At 38.0% G+C, this 19131-nt stretch overlaps 1 long non-coding RNA gene across 1 annotated transcript in view, besides 3 other annotated features; it reads right to left on the bottom strand.

Moving 5' to 3' along the window:
- LINC01122 (long intergenic non-protein coding RNA 1122) overlaps positions 1 to 19131 on the bottom strand; it is a 543014-nt gene that overhangs the window by 501532 nt on the left and 22351 nt on the right. The gene's annotated exons all lie outside the window — the stretch shown is intronic.
- Positions 2900 to 3573: an enhancer, noted in NCBI's record as "OCT4-NANOG hESC enhancer chr2:58785797-58786470 (GRCh37/hg19 assembly coordinates)". NCBI's record gives its function as "activates a minimal SCP1, AML or CMV promoter by ChIP-STARR-seq in naive H9 embryonic stem cells {active_cell/tissue: H9 hESC(naive)}" and the evidence as "EXISTENCE:reporter gene assay evidence [ECO:0000049][PMID:30033119]".
- Positions 6791 to 7291: an enhancer, noted in NCBI's record as "H3K27ac hESC enhancer chr2:58782079-58782579 (GRCh37/hg19 assembly coordinates)". NCBI's record gives its function as "activates a minimal SCP1, AML or CMV promoter by ChIP-STARR-seq in naive H9 embryonic stem cells {active_cell/tissue: H9 hESC(naive)}" and the evidence as "EXISTENCE:reporter gene assay evidence [ECO:0000049][PMID:30033119]".
- Positions 7292 to 7792: an enhancer, noted in NCBI's record as "H3K27ac hESC enhancer chr2:58781578-58782078 (GRCh37/hg19 assembly coordinates)". NCBI's record gives its function as "activates a minimal SCP1, AML or CMV promoter by ChIP-STARR-seq in naive H9 embryonic stem cells {active_cell/tissue: H9 hESC(naive)}" and the evidence as "EXISTENCE:reporter gene assay evidence [ECO:0000049][PMID:30033119]".

The raw sequence follows: 19131 nt of genomic DNA, 5'->3' as shown, positions 1-19131 counted from the left end.
AATCTGGATTTATCTAGGAGATAAGGTGGTAGACTGTTTTTGTCTTATCAATGTATATACTTCGAAAGAATTTCTGAATGACTTAAACTGAAAAAATTTTAAAGCCACTGACACCTTTCTGCATCAAACAGGATTTAGATGACAACATTTGTAATGACTCTGTACAAAATTCCTAACTCTTATGGGTCAGAAGGTTTTTTCTTATTTGAAACTGCGGGACAAAAAGCTTTAGAAGACTGCCCTTTCTTGTTCTGAACTGAGCAATGTCTTCTCTTTTGCTGCCTCAGAAAAACACATCCCTCATGTAAGTGTCTGGTTCAAACACTGGCAGGTGCCACGATTCTGGCCAAAGAAATACCAGGGAGCATCTACAGGGAGATTTCTAGGGGAGCTTTTCACCTCTTTAAATGGTACAAAAATCAGACGCATTCCAGCCGGGCGCGGTGGCTCACGCCTGTAATCCCAGCACTTTGGAAGGCCAAGACGGGCCGATCACGAGGTCAGGAAATCGAGAACATCCTGGCTAACACGGTGAAACCCCGTCTCTACTAAAAATACAAAAAATTAGCCAGGCTTGGTGGTGGGCGCCTGTACTCCCAGCTACTCGGGAGGCTGAGGCATGAGAATGGCGTCAACCCGGGAGGCGGAGCTTGCAGTGAGGGGAGATCTCACCACTGGGCGACAGAGTGAGACTCCGTCTCAAAAAAAAAAAAAAAAAAGGCATTCGTTTTTTCTGCCTCTGGATGTCATAAACTGCAAGAGACCTAGTATATGGCAGCTGTTTGGGAACGGCAGCTTGGGGCAAGTGAGATAAGAAATATTATTATCTATACTCAACAGAAGAATAACTGAAGTATACAAATGAGTAATTTTGTTCATAACACAGATTGTCTCAATTGCTACGAAATATCTGGTAACTCTCTACTCTTTCCCACACTTGCCATTTTTCCCATATTCCAACCTATCCTGGAAGTATTTATCCTGGCAAATTCCCACACCAATTCCCCATCACTCTCAAACACCATATATTTTGTAAAGTCCTAACATAACAACGGAAAGAAATATGGCCATTTATTAATCTCACACTTCAAGGAGATACATGGTTGGATGGATGGATGGATGGATAGACAGATATATCTTACACATATATTATTTAATATATATTGAATAATGTCTATTTAACACATCATGAGAAAATATGAATACATGTTTATATATGAATACATGAATATATGAATACATGTTTATATATGAATACATGAATATATGAATACATGAATACATATATGAACACATTTAACATATCTTTAACATATATACATTTAACAAATATGTTTAACATTGCATATTTTGCATGTATACTTTACAGAGAGAGAGAGAATAGTTAATGGCTCATGAAAATCCAAAACAGGACTGGAAATAATCCCCAATCTTCAGAAATTCACAAATTCCATGTCTATGTGAATGGCTAGCATTGTTCTTTTTGCTAGCCCATTGACAAGGAAAGTTCATGAAAGCAATGTTGGTAAGTAGTTTCTCTGCAGAGGGTCTAATGACTCACTGCCATTCCTCTCCTTTATTTATCTCTCTTTTTTGGGATAGTAATGACTGGCCCTAAAGACGATGACGGCATATCTACAGTGATTTAATACTGTCATCCATGGTAAGGACACATCTAAAAACTCTGTCAATAATCGGGATAATCAGGAAATACCAGATTTCTACAAGAAAACAAGTAGCCACTAGAAATGTTCAATTGGGGATTTAAAGTGGGTGCATATAAAGTTAAAAACAAGCATGTTATCACTAGCAGAACCATTCTATTACTATCACCATCCTTTCTCCATTTCTTCATATACTTCTACAACATCTTTAAAAGCTAAAGTTGAGGATGGAATGTTTGTTTTTTCTACTTTTGTTGGGAAACTTGAAATCTTAACTCTCTCTAAATGTAACATCCCTGTCCCTTGTATGTAATATTATATTGTATCTAATATTAACAAGCCTGAGAATAGGAGTGGCCTCCTCTCGGTCTGGTGCTTGCAGGTGGACAAGCAGTGGGTGGGATTCAGAAAATGGAATTCTGCATGGAAGTAGAATGCTTTAAAAAATATGAGTATAGGTACTTATCATTTATTTATAAATTATGCACCTATCCTTCCATCTCTAAACCACTAAGCCACAACCAATGATCAAACCATCTCATCACTAAAAATAAAATTACTTTTCTTTTTGTCTGCTAGTGTTCTCCTTTAGGAGCTCCCCCAATCCCCGCCTTTTTGCCCTCTGATCAGTGAGGTGAGCCAAGAAGAAGTGTCTGATTAATTTTGATGTTAACAAACATCATGGCACACCATACACCTTGTAAATGACAGCAGTAGAATTTCAGAATTAACAGTATCTGATAATTTGTTTTTGTTTTAATAATATCTTATTTTTAAATTCAGAATTACTAATTGGAATAGCCAGCTTTTTTATAAATATCAACAAATTAACAATAAGAAATATATATTGTATATTATAAGATAGGCATTAACACAGAATACTCTAACATCTAAGACTATTACCAAAATATATCATTAAAACCAGGATCATATATGTGTAATATGCTGCTTCAAGAAAAATATGGATTTAAAAATTACAGCCTACGAGACTCCATTTTAAGATGACATAATAGTGGATATATTAGTCAATGTTTCTCACAAATGAATCAACATATTGTATAATTACAATCATATTTAATCATTGCAGCAAAGTACAGGAAGTAACAGTCTCTTTTCTGTTTGGACAACTCATCTCAGATTAAAATTCGCTTGCAAGTAAATTCATAGAGGATTGGTTATGTGGTTATATCTGACCATTGAATATAAATTAAATTTATTTTAAAAGTCTGGGTTTGAACAGAAACATGGCTTTCTAAAATAAATGAAGGTTTTTTATTTTTTCATGCAATTACTTAGTGTTTGTTTAATGTTTTATTCACTCAAGAGCAATTCCCCCCTTAAAGCATTTGTGAAGTAGTTTGTGGACATGCTTGCAGTAGTATACTTGTGTGCAAAAATCAAACATAAAAACTGATCACATGCTCACAGCTGGAAACCGTGTCAGGCTTTATTCGGTAAGGTATCAGGCATTATCATTTAGCGCTCCCACAGCAGGAGGAAAAATGGTGGCACAGAGGAGAACGATCACATCAGACACACTCCAGGGGTTTCCTTTCCCTACATTGTTCCTCTCCCAAATGTAACTCTTTAAATTTTAAATAGGAAAAGAACACACATAATCATTTCTCAGAACAAAAAATAAAATAAAATAAAAGGAGGGGGGAGTGGATATGGAAGGGAAAGACAGTGGCAAAACAGGAAGGAAAACATTTCTCGTTAAATAAAGTGAATATTAGAAAGTTCAACATACACTTTAATGTGTCCTTAAGACCTAAAGAAGCACGCACATCAAAGAGGTTTTGAAGATCTACTTTAGTTCAGATAGAGCAGTGTTTTACTGTGCTCTGTTTTACCACTGTTGATCATGAACAGGTTATTCCTTAGTAACCAAATGCAAAGGTACTCAAGAATAGCTAATTGATGAGGTTTTCTCTTATAAACCTATACTTATCACATATAATATATATTAATACACATTAAGATAATTGAAAGCATTGAAGATACATGAACTGGAGCACATCTTATTTTTCCTTTTTAGAGAAGAAATCACCTTGAAACCCTGTTATCTAATTCTATTTCTTCATAGAAAATTATAATTTAGGAATTAATTTTAGCCTCCACAAATCTCAATTTTCATGTTAGTTCTTGTTTAATACAATTAACACCATCATTATTTTGGGGGAAAAATCACATTACTAGGCTTATTTTACCAGAAAAGCAAAATTCATAAGAGAGGTATAGTTTCAGAAAGTGGAGGAATTCCTAAGAAATAACAATTGTTATTTCATGTTAATGATGTAACCTCCTCCAATGCCTTCAATGGCTATAAAACCAACACCTGAAGGTCTGCAAGATGGTTGGTGCATTCAATATATTCTTCTTCAATGCATTTGCTGTACCTACTGCTTAGCCTTGTTGATACTGCAGGCACTCTTTGCAATGTAGACTGAAGATAGCCCTTTGAAACCCAAACACTTGGCTATCTACTTTGCTTTTGGAATGATTTGAGAAAGAAATACCTATCAGCATGCAACAGCTAAGTAAAGATAGAAAACAGATCTCAGCCCATCTATCTATCCTTTTGTAAATGCCCTAGGATTCGAGGTGAATTATCCTCATCCCTAACTTTCACTCTAAAATATTATGCTAACATTCTAATGTTTTTCTTGTGACTTTGTCACAAATAAAGAAAATAAGCCACAGGCAGATTAACTATATGTTTAGCTTAAAGTAAACCATATGTTTAGCTTAAACAAAATTTGGATGTGACCTCTTGGCTGTAGAGCTATGCTTCCATCAGCTCCTATCTTGAGCCGTGCGTGTGTGTGTGTGTATGTGCACATGCGTGTGTATGTGAATGAGGATATATACATATGAATATATGTTATTTATACATGTGAATCTATACATATATACATACACATACATCCTTTTAAATTTTTAGGGTTTTTTTCTCAAAGGCAAAAAAGAGATAAATCCTTAGGCCAAAATAGGAAGGAACAAACTGAATATATGCATTTTCCTTTTAAACAGGGATTCTGATCAGCCTAACAAGATGTTTCCCTGAAATACTGGCCTCAAATGAGTCCATTCAGCCATGGCAAGGAGAGGTTTCCAGCCAAAACATTTAATTAGTGCCCAATTAAGACAGCCAGAATGATGTGGAGTCCGGGCGCTGGCCGCGTGCTCGCCTCAGGATGGGTAAGCAGCTTAAGTGAGTCTAGTCTGACTAAAAGCTGTCAACTGTCAAACTGTCAGTGGGCCATATGGGTCAGGCAGCAGCATCTCTCTGAAGAATTTGGCTTGTCCACTCATCAGCGGAAAAACACCTCTGACACCATTGGGTTGACAAATAACCTGCAGTTCCTCAAAGCAGAAAGAAATTGAAGTTATGGTCCGATTAAAGGGGGAAGTCTGTCATGTGCCATTTTAAACTTTACTAGCACAACATCAGCTATAGGAAAATGTCCAAACTCCTTAACATGGCAGATAATGCCCCTGCCTAATTATCTGCCCTCATCTCTCACCTCTCCCTTTCTATGCTTTACCCCTGAGCAACGTTAAACTGCTCCATGTTCCCTCCAATATGCATAGTGCTCTTTCTGGACTCCAAAGCTTTGCTAATGCTGTATGCTCTGCCAACAATACCATTCTCTCTTCTTCTTCCACCCCAGCTTATTCATCTCTTTCGCTCAAACTTATCCTTTTATTTTAAACTTTGGAGGCAGCAGCTAAGGGAATTCTTTTCTATCCATCTCCTTCACCATCAACCTCAGACAGCGTTAGATAACCCTCTTCCAGGCTCTCATAAGCCCCTGAGTATCTAGCACTGATTTTGGTGCATATAATTATCACCATCTCTTCATGAGCTGATTTTCCCCTCTTGACAATATACAACTTGATGGTAGGAGTATGTCTTCTTTGTGTTCATAATCATAGCACCAAGAACACTGATTGTTCCTATCATTTGTTACTAAGAATTAACAAATTAATCTGGAAGTAATCAAATTAAAATCAATCTCACCCCATGTTTATTTTCTTTTGTTTTAAAATGTCCCTTTTAGGCAGGTAAATATCACCATGCAATTGGATTGATTTGCCTGTACAGATATAGTAAGTTAATACATGAGTGAGTCGCTACAGCCCTATTGCTCCTCCTGTGCTAGGGTTGGTGGGCACACCATTCCAAGAGGGTATACACGGAGATTGAGAATTGATTAAGGTATTAGCCTAAGTGATATCAAATGAAGAGTGTACTGGAAATCAAGATGATCTTTAAAATAAGTTACTGCTTTTTATTTTTCCTTAACTGTCAATGTAGTTTCATCAGTTGTAACAAATATACCACTTCAGTGGGGAATGTTGATAATGGGGGAAGCTATGCATGTGTTAGGGCAAGGGGGTATATGGGAAATCTCTATACATCTCAATTTTGCTGTGAACCTAAAACTGCTCTAAACACTAATTAATTAATTTAGCTTTGGTATGTTATAACCGGGAATCTAACAGGATGTGGAAGAAGCTAGAGCTATGGGGGAAAAAATCTTGATTTGTGGAAATACCCTAGGCTTCTAGCCTGTCCCTCACCAGAAATGTTTTTATATAAAATATTAGAAAGAAGAAACTGTCAGACTAACTTGAAAAGGAGAGAGGATGAGAAGAGATGCTACCAAAATTCAGCTACAGCTTGAAGCCTGTGTGTGTATATGTGCTGGAAGTTAAGGTAATAATTCCCTAGAACCTATTCAGCAAATATTGGTGATTAGGACCTTTCATTCATCTGTCTACTACCTTCTTGAGTAAATGTACAGCATAAACTCCTTCCAATAGAGGCCCATCTCCATCCCCTAATGATCAACCCCTGATACAAAAGGGTGTTGCTTCTAATACTCCTGTAAGAAAATGTAAAATTTTCTTTTTTTGTTTTAGATGTAGAACTAGCCATATCTTTAGAGTAACTACCTGAAAATCAGACCAAAAAGCAGAAGTACTAACTCAATCTCCAATGTCACATAATAAATTTAACCAAAAATTTTGTAAAACTTTGACAAAAAACATGCATTAGAAAACAATAAACATTACGAAACTTACTACCTCCTAAGCTCAAAACAGATGTAGAACCTGTGAACTAATCATTTGACAGAAGTATCTTGAAAAAAAGCACATGTAACTGATGTCATCTTGCAAATATCAACTATTGGTCACAGTTCCTAATACAGCCAAATCAGGCCATTCCTATCACAACATAGTTAAAACATAAATTATTTTAATAAATTGATGAACCACTCTCAAAAATAATGCTTGTGCACAAACCTGGGAAACTGCTTTCGCTGGCTGTAAAGAAAAGGATCCCGAAGTTACTGCACTGAATAATTGCACTAAGATATATTAGAGGTCTGGCCAAGCACAGTGGCTCACGCCTGTCATCGCAGCACTTTGGAAGGCCAAGTCAGGCAGATTGCTTGAGCCCATGTGTTCAGGACCAGCCTGGGCAACATGGCGAAACCCTGTCTCTACAAAAAATACAAAAAATGAGACAGGCATGGTGGCGTATGCCTGTAGACCCAGCTACCCGGGAGGCTGAGGTGGGAGAATTACTTCAGCCAGGGAGGTGGAGGCTGCAGTGAGCTATGATCACACCACTGCACTCCAGCCTGGGCAACAGAGGGAAACCCTGTCTCAAAAAAAAAAGAAAAGAAAAGAAAAGAAAAAAAGATGCATTACAGGTCACATGCTTCTCCAAGGGGAAGGGTCTGTGGTGTGGATAAGAAATTGGTGGAGGCCAGGCAAGGTGTCTCATGCCTGTAATCCCAGTACTTTGGGAGGCTGAGGCGGGCAGATCATTTGAGGTCAGGAGTTCAAGACCAGCCTGGCCAACATGGTGAAACCTCGTCTCTACTAAAAAATATGAAAATTAGCCGGGCATGGTGGCACGTGCCTGTAATCCCAGCTACTTGGGAGGCTGAGGCAGGAGAATCTCTTGAACCTGGAAAGCTGAGATTGCAGTGAGCCAAGACCATGCCATTGCACACTCCATCCTAGGTGAAAGAGTGAGACTCTGTCAAAAAAAAAAAAACAAAGGAAAGAGAGAGAAAGAAAGAAGGAGAAAGAAAGAAAAAAGGAAAGAAAGAGAAAAAGAAAGAAAGAAAGAAAGAAAGAAAGAAAGAAAGAAAGAAAGAAAGAAAGAAAGAAAGAAAGAAAGAAATTGGTGGAAAGAGTCTTATCCTAGGGTAGGAACTTCCAGTAGAAAAAAAAAAAGGAAAAAGTGTTATAACGACTTTCTATATAAAGTATCAAATGTCTTGCCCAAAATTGTCCTCTTTCCTCCATTCCCAAGAAGTCATAGAGAGAAAAGCTTGTCTTGTTTCTACCTTCACAAACCTAAGTGTCAAAAGGATACACATTCACCAAGTCCATGAAGGACCTGCAGGAGGCAGCCCTGACCAAGCCCCAGTGGTGACAGCAAGCAGCTGCTTTTTCTCTCTACTTTAGGCACTCACTCCGCTTTTCCTACAAGAATAAAAGCAACCAGAAGTGTTAAGTCTTCTTCTTGCCCTCTCTACTATCTGCACAAGAAACTCTGGAGTCTTTTCAAAGAGGTACTATGAATACTTATGTGACAATATGGAGCTTCTTTACCCTTTTTCACCTGCCACTTTTCTTCCTCACATAGTCGCCTTCTCAGGAGGAAGCTATTGGTGAGACCCAAAAAAGACAGAGAATCTGTTAGTATAATAAAGTATAATAACTCAGACCACAAGAGGTGGTAAGAATTCCTAAGATAGAGAAAGAGACAGAGAGAAAGTTCAAGCACCTGAAAGGATGCAGATAACATGCAAAGGCTAATGAGCTCAGGGCCTGCTGCTGCCATTCAGATGCATCTAGAAGGAAGATCACAAACTTATTGACTAAGAAGCAGAGCTCTGGAAAGATGCAAAAATGTGAACAAGACTTTGGAAAAAAAGGGGGAAAAGGAAGGAGAAGGAGGCCCCTGATGCCCATATGATGTGTATGGACTGATGGCTGATTCCTTGGAAAAAAGTAAAGTTTGATGCAACAAATTCTGTATTTGTCTATGTTTTTGACTATGTAATGGTAAGACTTTTTTTTTCCTGATAATGGACTATTTACCCCTCACAGGCCAAACTTAAGTGTTGCACTTAGAAATAAGTCCCTGAAACCTCTCTTGCTCCCTTCTAAAGAGAATGTGGGAGGGGTGGGGAGCAGAGCTTTCTCTCTTCGTTTTCAAGGAGCATTCCTTCCTTAACTCAGGGAGAAGTTGACTGTGTGTTACAAGTCCTTAATTTGGGTATGCTTATCTTGCAATTAACAGCATAGGTTAGAAAGGAATCAGAGTAAAGCTGTCTGCATAGGCAAAAGGAAAGTCCTAGAAATTGATGTACTAGGGAGGACTTCTGAGATTCTTTATGCCAAGTCTGCATAGTGGCTAATCATAGGTAGGGAAGAAGCGAAGGTCATAGGTAGTAAATTGACCTCATACCTAAAAGAGCCATGGTGGTCAGAGTCAGGGAAGAATCTGGGGAAAACAGAATCTGTAGCAAAAAGAATCTGCAGCAAAAAGTAATTCATGTCAGAATCAGACATCTGAGCCAAGATTTTCTTTTTTAAGTCAAACACAATTGTTATAGAAGAAAAATGACTCATTCACAAGTCTTCAAGGGCAGGAACACAGAGCCAGGTCACAACCAACAGAACAATAATATCTACATATATGCAGGTTTTAATAGCAAAAGCTGAAAGAATAAAACCTGCAAAAACTTACATAGGTACTGTTCTAGGATTTATTATGTAAAGACATATCACAGTGCAAAGAAAGTACCAAACTCCACAAGCTTTGTACTGGTAATAACAAGCTTTGTACTGGTAAAAGGAAAAGATTATAATTGGACATTAATTGATATACACTAAATAGAGAAAATCAAGCACTCAAATTTCTATCGACATGCAAATGTTAAATTAGGGAAAAAAATAAACAGCCAATTCCCTGGACTTGGATTGATACAGATGACAAGTCTATTAAAGCAAACTGAATGAGGACCCTCTAGGTGATAATGATCATTAGGTATGTAGACAATGTCTAAAATGAAAGAGAAAAAAAGCTGAAAAAGATCTAAGACAGTGAAACACTGAAAATCAAATTATAACTGTTAGAGAAAGGAATGAAAACTGAAATTTAGCTGTATCAAAATCATTCCAGGTTACCTACGAATGACTGTTCTTTATAACAATGCTGAAGACTATTTTGACTGAATTTTGACTCAAAGTATTAAGATAGGTATACAAAAATGTAAAAACAATGAAATTTTTAAAAATTAAATTATACATTGTAGAAAGTACATTTTTACTATCATAGAGTAAAAAATATATATTTTTACCATAATATAGTAGAAAGTATATATTTCTACTAAAGAAAGTTCAAAAAAGTAAGATAAGAAGAAGCATTTTAATAAGTTGTCAGACTGGGACGTAATGAAACTAAGGAGCTTCTGCACAGCAAAAGAAACTATTAATAAATAGACAACCTACAGAATGGGAGAAAACATTTGCAAATTATGCATCTGACGAAGGCCTAATATCCAGAATCTATAGGGAACTTAAACAAATCAACAAGAAAAAAAAAACCCTATTACAAACTGAGCAAAGGGCATAAACAGACACTTCTCAAAAGAAGTCATATAAGCAGCCAACAAACAGACGAAAAAATGCTCAATACCACTAATCATTAGAGATGCAAATCAAAACCACAATGAGATAACATCTCACACCAGTCAGAATGGCTATTATTAAAAAGTCAAAAAATAGATGCTGGCAAGGTTGCAGAGAAACGGGAATGCTTATACACTGTTGGTGGGAATGCAAATTAGTTCAGCCCCTGTCAAAACAGTTTGGAGATTTCTCAAAGAACTAAAAATAGAATTACCATTTTACCCAGCAATCCCATTAGTGGGTATATATCCCAAGGAAAAGAAATCCTTGAACCACAAAAACACATGCTCTTGCATGTTCATTGCAGCACTATTCACAATAGCAAAGACATGGAATCAACCCAGGTACCCATCAACGGCAGATTGAATAAAGAAAATGTGGTACATATATACCCTGGAATACTACACAGCCATAAAGAATGAAATCATGTCCTTTGCAGCAACATGCATGTATAAAACATACATATGTTCCCCCTGAATCTAAAATAAAAAATAGAATAACGTTGTCTGTCATCTAGTAGGAGGCATGAGGGGGACTTCTAGGATACTCCTGTTTAGTTTATTAATCTGGATGTATTCAGTTTTTGAAAATTCATTCAGCTGTACACTTATGATTTGTGCATTATTCTGAATGAATGTTATGTTTCTATGAAAAGCTCTCTAAAGAAAAAAATTACTGGTCATATGCCAGGCGCAGTGGCTTATGCCTGTAATCCCAGCACTTTGGGAGGCCAAGGCAGGTGGATCACGAGGTCAGGAGATCAAGACCATCCTGGCCAACATGGTGAAACCCCGTCTCTACTAAAAATACAAAAAATTAGCCGGGCATGGTGGCAGACGCCTGTAGTCCCAGCTACTCAGCAGGCTGAGGCAGAAGAATGGCGTGAACCCAGGAGGCAGAGCTTGCAGTGAGCCGAGATCGTGCCACTGCACTCCAGCCTGGGCGACAGAGTGAGACTCCATCACAAAACAAAAAAAAAAATTACTGGTCATAGTCAAATTCATAAAATTTGAGTTTGCCTTTGCTAGGATACTTAACAATAAGGCTCAGCATAAAAACAGATAATAACATCCTAAGTTGTAAAGAATGTGGTTCCCTTAAGAGGATTGAGAATAACTCACACTTGGTCAATATATTTAAAGTCTTGTAAAGGATCTAAAGATATTTCTACTTGAATCCTAAAAAATGGGCAATGAGCAGGGAATCTGACTTTGAGATGTGTGAAGCTAGGTCCGCTTGAGTGAACTGATTTCAGGAGTAAAATATTGTGCTTATGTAAATTCCTCAAGATCAACTTAATGACCTAAGAAAGGAGAATTTCTTCTGATTCATGGTGACATAGCATGCCTTCAACTATAAACTGTATTTCCTATATTTAAGTCCCAATTCTATCACTTCTACACTACATATATTTGGGTAAGACATTTAACATCACAGATTCTATGATTTCAATATACATAGAATGGGATAACATGGCATGCCCTATCTGCCTTCCTGGGTTATTTTGACTTGTGTACAAGATAATACAAGTGAAAGTGCTCTGCAAGCTATAAAAACAAATGATAAAAATTTAAAATAAAATGACTCTGAATTGAATGGCTTAAGTTTGATAACCCAATCTGATTTGGCTACATTTATTGTCCTTGATCTAGCCTGTGTATATTAAGCCAATTTAGACTTCCCCAAAACACATAGTTGTTACACTATGCTTCTGTTTCGAAACTTCAGCATCCTTTCTCTGTCTACAGTCTCAAATCTTTGCTAATAAGGTCTTGCTAGTCCTTTTCATCATTTACAATGTCCCATTTGAAGCCCAATGCCATGGCTTCCAAATCATACCACATCCCTTCCTGCCTCTACAAATTTGTGCCTGTCATATCCTTCCCTTCTTGTGCCCTTCCTACTCTGTTCTTCTTTTCAAATTCAATGTGTCCTTTAAGGCCCTATTTACGTCCTTTCTTTTCCATGAAGTCCCTTCCATTAACCCTAGTATATTGATCTATTTATTATCCCTAATGTTAATTTCTTTTTTTTTTTTTGAGATGGAGTCTCGCTCTGCTGCCAGGTTGGATTGCAATGGTGCAATCTCGGCTCACTGCAACCTCCGCCTCCCTGGTTCAAGCGATTCTCCTGCCTCAGTCTCCCAAGTAGCTGGGATTACAGGCATGCATCACCACAGCTAGCTAATTTTTGTATTTTTAGTAGAGATAGGATTTCACCATGTTGGCCAGGCTGGCCTGGAACTCCTGATCTCAGGTGATCCACCCGCCTTGGCCTCCCAAAGTGCTGGGATTACAGGCGTGAGCCACCATGCCTGGGCTCTAATGTTAATTTCTTAGACGTTATCCTCTGCATCTAAATTTACAATTTGGCTGTATGTTTCAGGTGTATTAAATGTCCACGTGTATTAAGACTCCTCACCAAACTGTAAAACCCCTTTAAAAGATGAATTATCTTCTATGTTTCTTTTCCCTATTCCCAGGAACTAGCATAGTATTGGAGAAATGGAGATGAAAATGAGGTTCAATAAAATTAGAGTTCTCAATAAATATGCATGGAAGTGAATTAAGTTGCTAATTCCTAAGAGAGCATCTGACAGTTATATTGATATCTGTGTATCAATGGCATTTTTTTTTCTTTTTTGAGACAGAGTCTCAGTCTGTCACCCAGGCTAGAGTGCCATGATGCATTCTCGGCTCACTGCAACCTCTGCCCCCCAGGTTCAAGCAATTCTCCTGCTTCAGCCTCCCGAGTAGCTGGAAGGTGCCTGTCACCATACCTAGCTAATTTTTGTAGTTTTGGTAGAGACATGGTTTCTCCATGTTAACCAGCCTGGTCTCGAACTCCTGACCTCAAGTGATCCATCTGCCTCGCCCTTCCAAAGTGCTGGGATTACAGACGTGAGCCACTGCACCCAGCCATCAATGGCATTTTTTCTTCTCATTTCAAACATGCCTTCTGAGAAGTGCTTGGAGAAACTACAGATAAATGCTCTCCTCTATTAGAAGGACAAGAGAACAAACCTGTCGCTGTCCCTGATACACAGTACTAAGACCAATACAAAAAAATTTAATCCATACACAGGACTTAGATGAATATAAAATCAATACAAAACAAATAAATACAAAAAACCCAATAATCCAAAATATGAAGGTGCAGAATAAATGCTTTAGGAGTGGTTGAGTTTTGACAAAGGGCGTTCCACCAAGTTCTACCGCAGTTGGATTCAACAAAGCAAGTCACTAAAGTAAAGATGGGGAGAAGGGTGGAGAAGAAAAATTCAGCTGGATTTTGGATATGGTCATTATGTGCATCTAATCACACTCCTTTAAAGGGATCTGACTGTAGGTGGGTGATGATGCTGAGTTAGGCAGAGTATGCAGTGTAGAAAAGAGGAGAAAATAGAAAGGGGAGGATAGTAAGGAAATGAAGGGAGGGGTATTTGGAGACTAGTTGGCTGACCTTTGTGGTTCTACACTTTCCTTTTTTTTTTTTTTTTTTAATTTTTTCCTCCATTTTGTACTCATGCCCAGATTCAAAGTGATGGCTTCATAATAATAAATAAATAATTAAGGAATCCAAGAAAAGATCCAAAAGGCATGCCAGAAAGGGTTATAAGCTTGGCTCCAAATCTCTCTTGAGTGAGAGACAGAAAATAGGTTTGAATTTGCCTGCCTGGATGGCTAGAAGGCAGTGACAGATATCCAATTATAAAGCGCAGGGGGCATTTTCTCTTGCCACCAGTAGAAGCCCAGGCTCCCTGGCACTCATAGTTTAAAATGTTTCTTTTTATTTCCAGATTTTAGGCGACAGTAATAATTTTTCCTCCCTTCTAGGGGCTTCAATGTACACATATCTTCCCATAGAGCTTTCTTTTGCTTCAGGAATGAGCTGGGATTGGAGAATACCTAGACTCCTACAGATCTAACACCCAAGATAACTGGCCCAGCTGAGATTATATGCTTTTCAGCCCTTGCCTCTAGCTTCCAAGATATGACCAGTGAACAAAACGGTAGTGGGTCATGGGAAGAATAGGTGCTACAGAGAGATGATCAGTTAGATAGCAATCACTAACTGAAGTTCATGGACTATTTTATCTTTTTAGAGTTTATAAAATGTTTTCATAACTATTATCTCATTAGATCCTCACACAACCCTGTGAATCCAGCAGAGTAAGGATTGTCATTTTCGTTGTAGAAACAAGGTAGTAGTCCAGAGATACCATCTGCCTAGTCCTTGGTCACATAGTTGGTATGCTGGGCCACTGGGACTGGAGTCCAGGCACCCCAAATGCATCCAGACATACAGAGGCTCCAGTAACAGAGGACTGAGCTCTATGAACAGTGAGGAGCTCTGGGACTTCCTGAAAGATGTGAGACAGACATACAATCCCCAAACCGGAAAGGGGCTTAGAACATATCAAAGTCCTAATCCCTCATTTTACAGATGTGGTCTAGTTTGGTTGAATAACTAACCTAAAAGTATCTATCAAACTCATGTAAAAGTCAGCTCTCCTAACTCTCAGCCCAGTGTTTTTTACCCTCACCTTGGTGACAACTCCTTCCACGTAGCCTGGGGTAAACAAAAAACTCAAAGGTGTTCAGGATAGGAAGTCAATGAGACACATTAGGATCCATTTGCTATGACCAAGTAAATTGAAAGTTTGATCAAATAGGCAATATTTTCTACAAATGGATTCCCTAGAGTTAAAAGACTCCCCTTTATAAAATGCAAAAAGCTGAGAAGAGGGCTGGGAGGGAGGAAAAAGCACCAGAATTAGTAGATCCTCATTTGCCTCCTGGCCCTGCCCCTTCCTACAGAATGATTCTGGAAGCCTGGCACAGGGTCAATTTCTCTATTTGTGATAAACACATGAACACTGCCTACTTCATTGGTTTGTTATGAGAAGGTAACGAGATGACGCGTGTGAAAGTTCACTGCAAATGATGATAAGGTATTTTCATCCTTATTGCTGTGGTTTGCTTCTCTAAATTACCTGGCTAATTGTTCTTCCTTTTACTTGATTTTTGTTTTTGTTTATGTGGCCCAAGCTAGCTGCCTACTGTGAGGATGAAAGGCCATGGTGTAATCACAACCAGATTCAACTATAAAAGTACTCAGATTGTCCTTTTCCACACAGGCACTCAAACAAGATAGTGAGGTTAAATGGGCGCCCTAGAATGTAGAACAAAGATTACTTCTGAAAGCTTGAAAAACAACACCTACTAAAAATAAGACTTTAGGCCAGGCACAGTGGCTCACACTTGTAATCCTCGCACTTTGGGAGGCTGAGGCAGGCAGATTGCCTGAGCTCAGGAGTTCGAGACCAGCCTGGGCAACATGGTAAAACCCCATCATCTCTACTAAAATCCAAAAAAAAAAAAAAAAAAAAAATTAGCCAGGCATGGCGGCATGTGCCTGTAGTCCCAGCTACTCGGGAGGCTGAGGCAGGAGAATTGCTTGAACCCAGGAGGCGAAGGTTGCAGTGAGCCGAGATCGTGCCACTGCACTCCAGCCTGGTGACAGAGCGAGACACCATCTCAAAAAGAAAGAGACTTTTTTACTCATAGTTTTACTCATAGCCATCTATGAGTAAAAGTCTCATAAGAGATTTAGTTATGCATGACTAAGGAGATTTGGGAATATTCAAATTTCAAAGGAATGTGGATATTGCTAATTGAGCTAAAATTGAAGAGGCAAGAAGAATAAATGAACTCTCAAATTAAGAGTTTCTCAAGGTATCTCCAGCCCTGTCCATGGTAGAGGATACTTAAACATTTGGGTTCCAAGAGTGGAGACAAATAAGGCTATCTGAACTTGAGGACACTAGCTTAAGATCCAGATAAATCCACTAATTATGAGGCCTTGCATGCCAACTAAAATCTGTGCTTAAACTTTAGCTTTTAAACAAAACTTACCTGTAGGGAACAAGCTGATGAGCTGACACAGTGCCCAATCTCATTTTAAGTGAATAAACCAGCATCAGTTCTTACACACATTTCATGTGAGCTTGAGTCACAATTGATTGGTCTTGACCTTAGTTACTCTGGGAACAGAAAGGAAGGGAAACTAGAAGACCTCAGTCAAACCTCATGTTCTTTTCATCTTCAGCTTTCCTCACGTCTGCAACTATCAATTTGTGGCTCCAGACACCTGTAAATGGGCTACGTTATGCATGACAACACTTAACGTGGGTGGAAAAACCATGTTATTCATGGGGTTCAGGATACTATAGCCCAAAATATTATGCCACCTGACATATTGAAAAATGGCAGAAACAAGACAGTCTCTCTAATTTCCCCACCACCACAACCCTTCTCCCCTAAAGCAGATCATGAAACTAAGAAGGATTTTCTGAGGTTTCCCTGAAGCAGCTCATAAGACCTTCATGCAAGAGGGGAATCTCTTTATACCTGGAGGAGGGGAGTATCTTTATCTCTGAAAGTGAAGAATCATAGTGAAGAATCTGAACAAAAAGGCCTTGCAGAGTTTCCCCAGTTTGCCACCATTAGATCATCCTATCTTTTACATCTAGATGAAAATGCTTTGTCCTATCCTATTCCTCCTAGACTATCCACTCTTCATCAAACCTAGCATGAAAATATACAAGTTTAACTGTTTCTTTGGGTCTTTATGTCCTTATGAACCTGTGTCACATGGAACTTACATTAAATAAAATGTGAATGCTTTTCTTTTGTTAATCTGTCTTTTGTTTCACAGGCCTCAGCCATAAAGCTATATTACTCAATCTTTCTATGCCCATAATCAACGAGAACTCAAATAGAAAATATATTAACTCAATTTTCCTTTTGAAAGTACTTTTGGAGGCCAGGCGCAGCGGCTCACGCCTATAAACCCAGCACTTTGGGAGGCTGAGGTGGGTAGATCACCTGAGGTCAGGAGTTCAAGACCAGCCAGGCCAACAATGATGAAACCCCATCTCTACTAAAAATACAAAAATTAGTCAGGCATGGTGATTCACGCCTGTAATCCCAGCTACTTGGGAGACTGAAGCAGGAGAATCGCTTGAACCTGGGAGGAAGAGGTTGCAGTGAGCTGAGATCACACCATTGCACTCCAGTCTATGCAGCACAGTGAGACTCCGTCTCAAAAAAAAAAGGAAAAGAAAAGAAAAAAAAAAAGGAAGTACTTTTGGGAAAAGAAGAAAACAACAACATTAACCATTTTTTAAAAAGTTAGGTTATGCTTCATATTAGGTACAAGTTTAGTGCAATTCTTTCTTCTTCCTAAAGCATTTTAAAAAATGCCCAAGATGACAATGAGAAAGCATGTGAAGGCCTAGATGTCATGATATTTCATATCCTATACTGCTAAAGTTAAAAAGTGAAAAAATATATTCAAGAAAAAAAGGTTCAATTAAGGTAGTTGTAATTAAAGGAATTATATTACCTTTCAAATAACCAGAAAACTCAATTAACCAAAATCACTTATTGGCTGTGTCTTCCAGTTAATGAAGATTTTGGAAGATTTAATTGTTAAGTACACATCAGAGTTTGTCATGAAGATATACCCAGTTGTTATAGTAAATATGGTACAGAGAATTTCTTTCAGTTGCTATTGTATTAAATGTTATGTATTTCAGAAATAGCCTAGAGTTAAAGAGGAGTGATATTCTATTAATTAATCTTAAATTATTTCAGGATAGGAACATAGACCTAGGAAAGAAAAATGGAAATGATGCACCAAAAAAAAAAAAAAAATCAGCAATTTCTTCCTCAAACTTCCTAATCCAAATGGCCAATTGCTGGTTGTCATTGCATTAATCTAATTATAACTCTTTCCTATTGAATTTTCAAATACATGAAATGACTGGGAAAAAACAGCGACTTGTAAAAATCAAAGGGTTCCATGGTTAATGTTACATTCAAAGGTAATTACTTAACACAGGCAAAGCTGAACTGCACAACCTACAATTCTGCAACTTTCTATAGGCCCTTTTGCTTCTACTTTAAATAAAAGAAATTCCTTTCATTTTGTCAAGAAAACTTTTCTCTACCTCACTACTGCCTGACAAGGGAACAGATGGCAATTTAAGGGGAGAATTTATGAGAGCCACAATCTTAATGTTGCATAAAGGAAAGAAAAAGACTCGCATCAAAACCACTGACAAATGTACTTGCTAATATTAATGCACTCCCCATTCATCCAATATGCTTCCTAATTGCTTTTCTGTACATAATAATGTGGCACCTGCTGCTCAACATTGCAAACGCATCAGGATTTCTCCAAAGTCAAACAGCTCTGCAACTGGCCCTCTCCCAGTGATAAATGTAGAGCACTGTATCACGCACAGTTCCTGTCAGTGGCATAATTAAAATTTTATACTTACAGAAAAAGATAGTAAACAATCAGTTCTTAAATGGATTCACAAGAGGAACTCTTGTTACAGCCAACTTTATAATTAGTATGCATCATGTACTGCTAATATATCCATGACAAGAAAATAGGAAAAAAATTAGAAACTTGAGTTCTTCCCTTTAATGCAATGTTAAACTACTTTAAAAAAAAGAAGAAAATAATCTACTATTACTGTACTATTACATCAAGAACCTTCTCTCATATTAGCATAACTGCTTCTACTATATAACTTGTCTATGCCTTCTCAAGTGACAATGAGAATGAGATTAGAGTAGAAGGGAGAAAACTTTTGCATGCATACACATCAATGAAAGCATGGTACATATTTTGTAGTACAGGGGTCCAAAAACTACAGCCTCTT

Source organism: Homo sapiens, chromosome 2 (assembly GCF_000001405.40).
Source record: "Homo sapiens chromosome 2, GRCh38.p14 Primary Assembly".
Classification (NCBI taxonomy): domain Eukaryota; kingdom Metazoa; phylum Chordata; class Mammalia; order Primates; family Hominidae; genus Homo; species Homo sapiens.
This window is presented reverse-complemented; position numbering and strand designations above follow the sequence as displayed.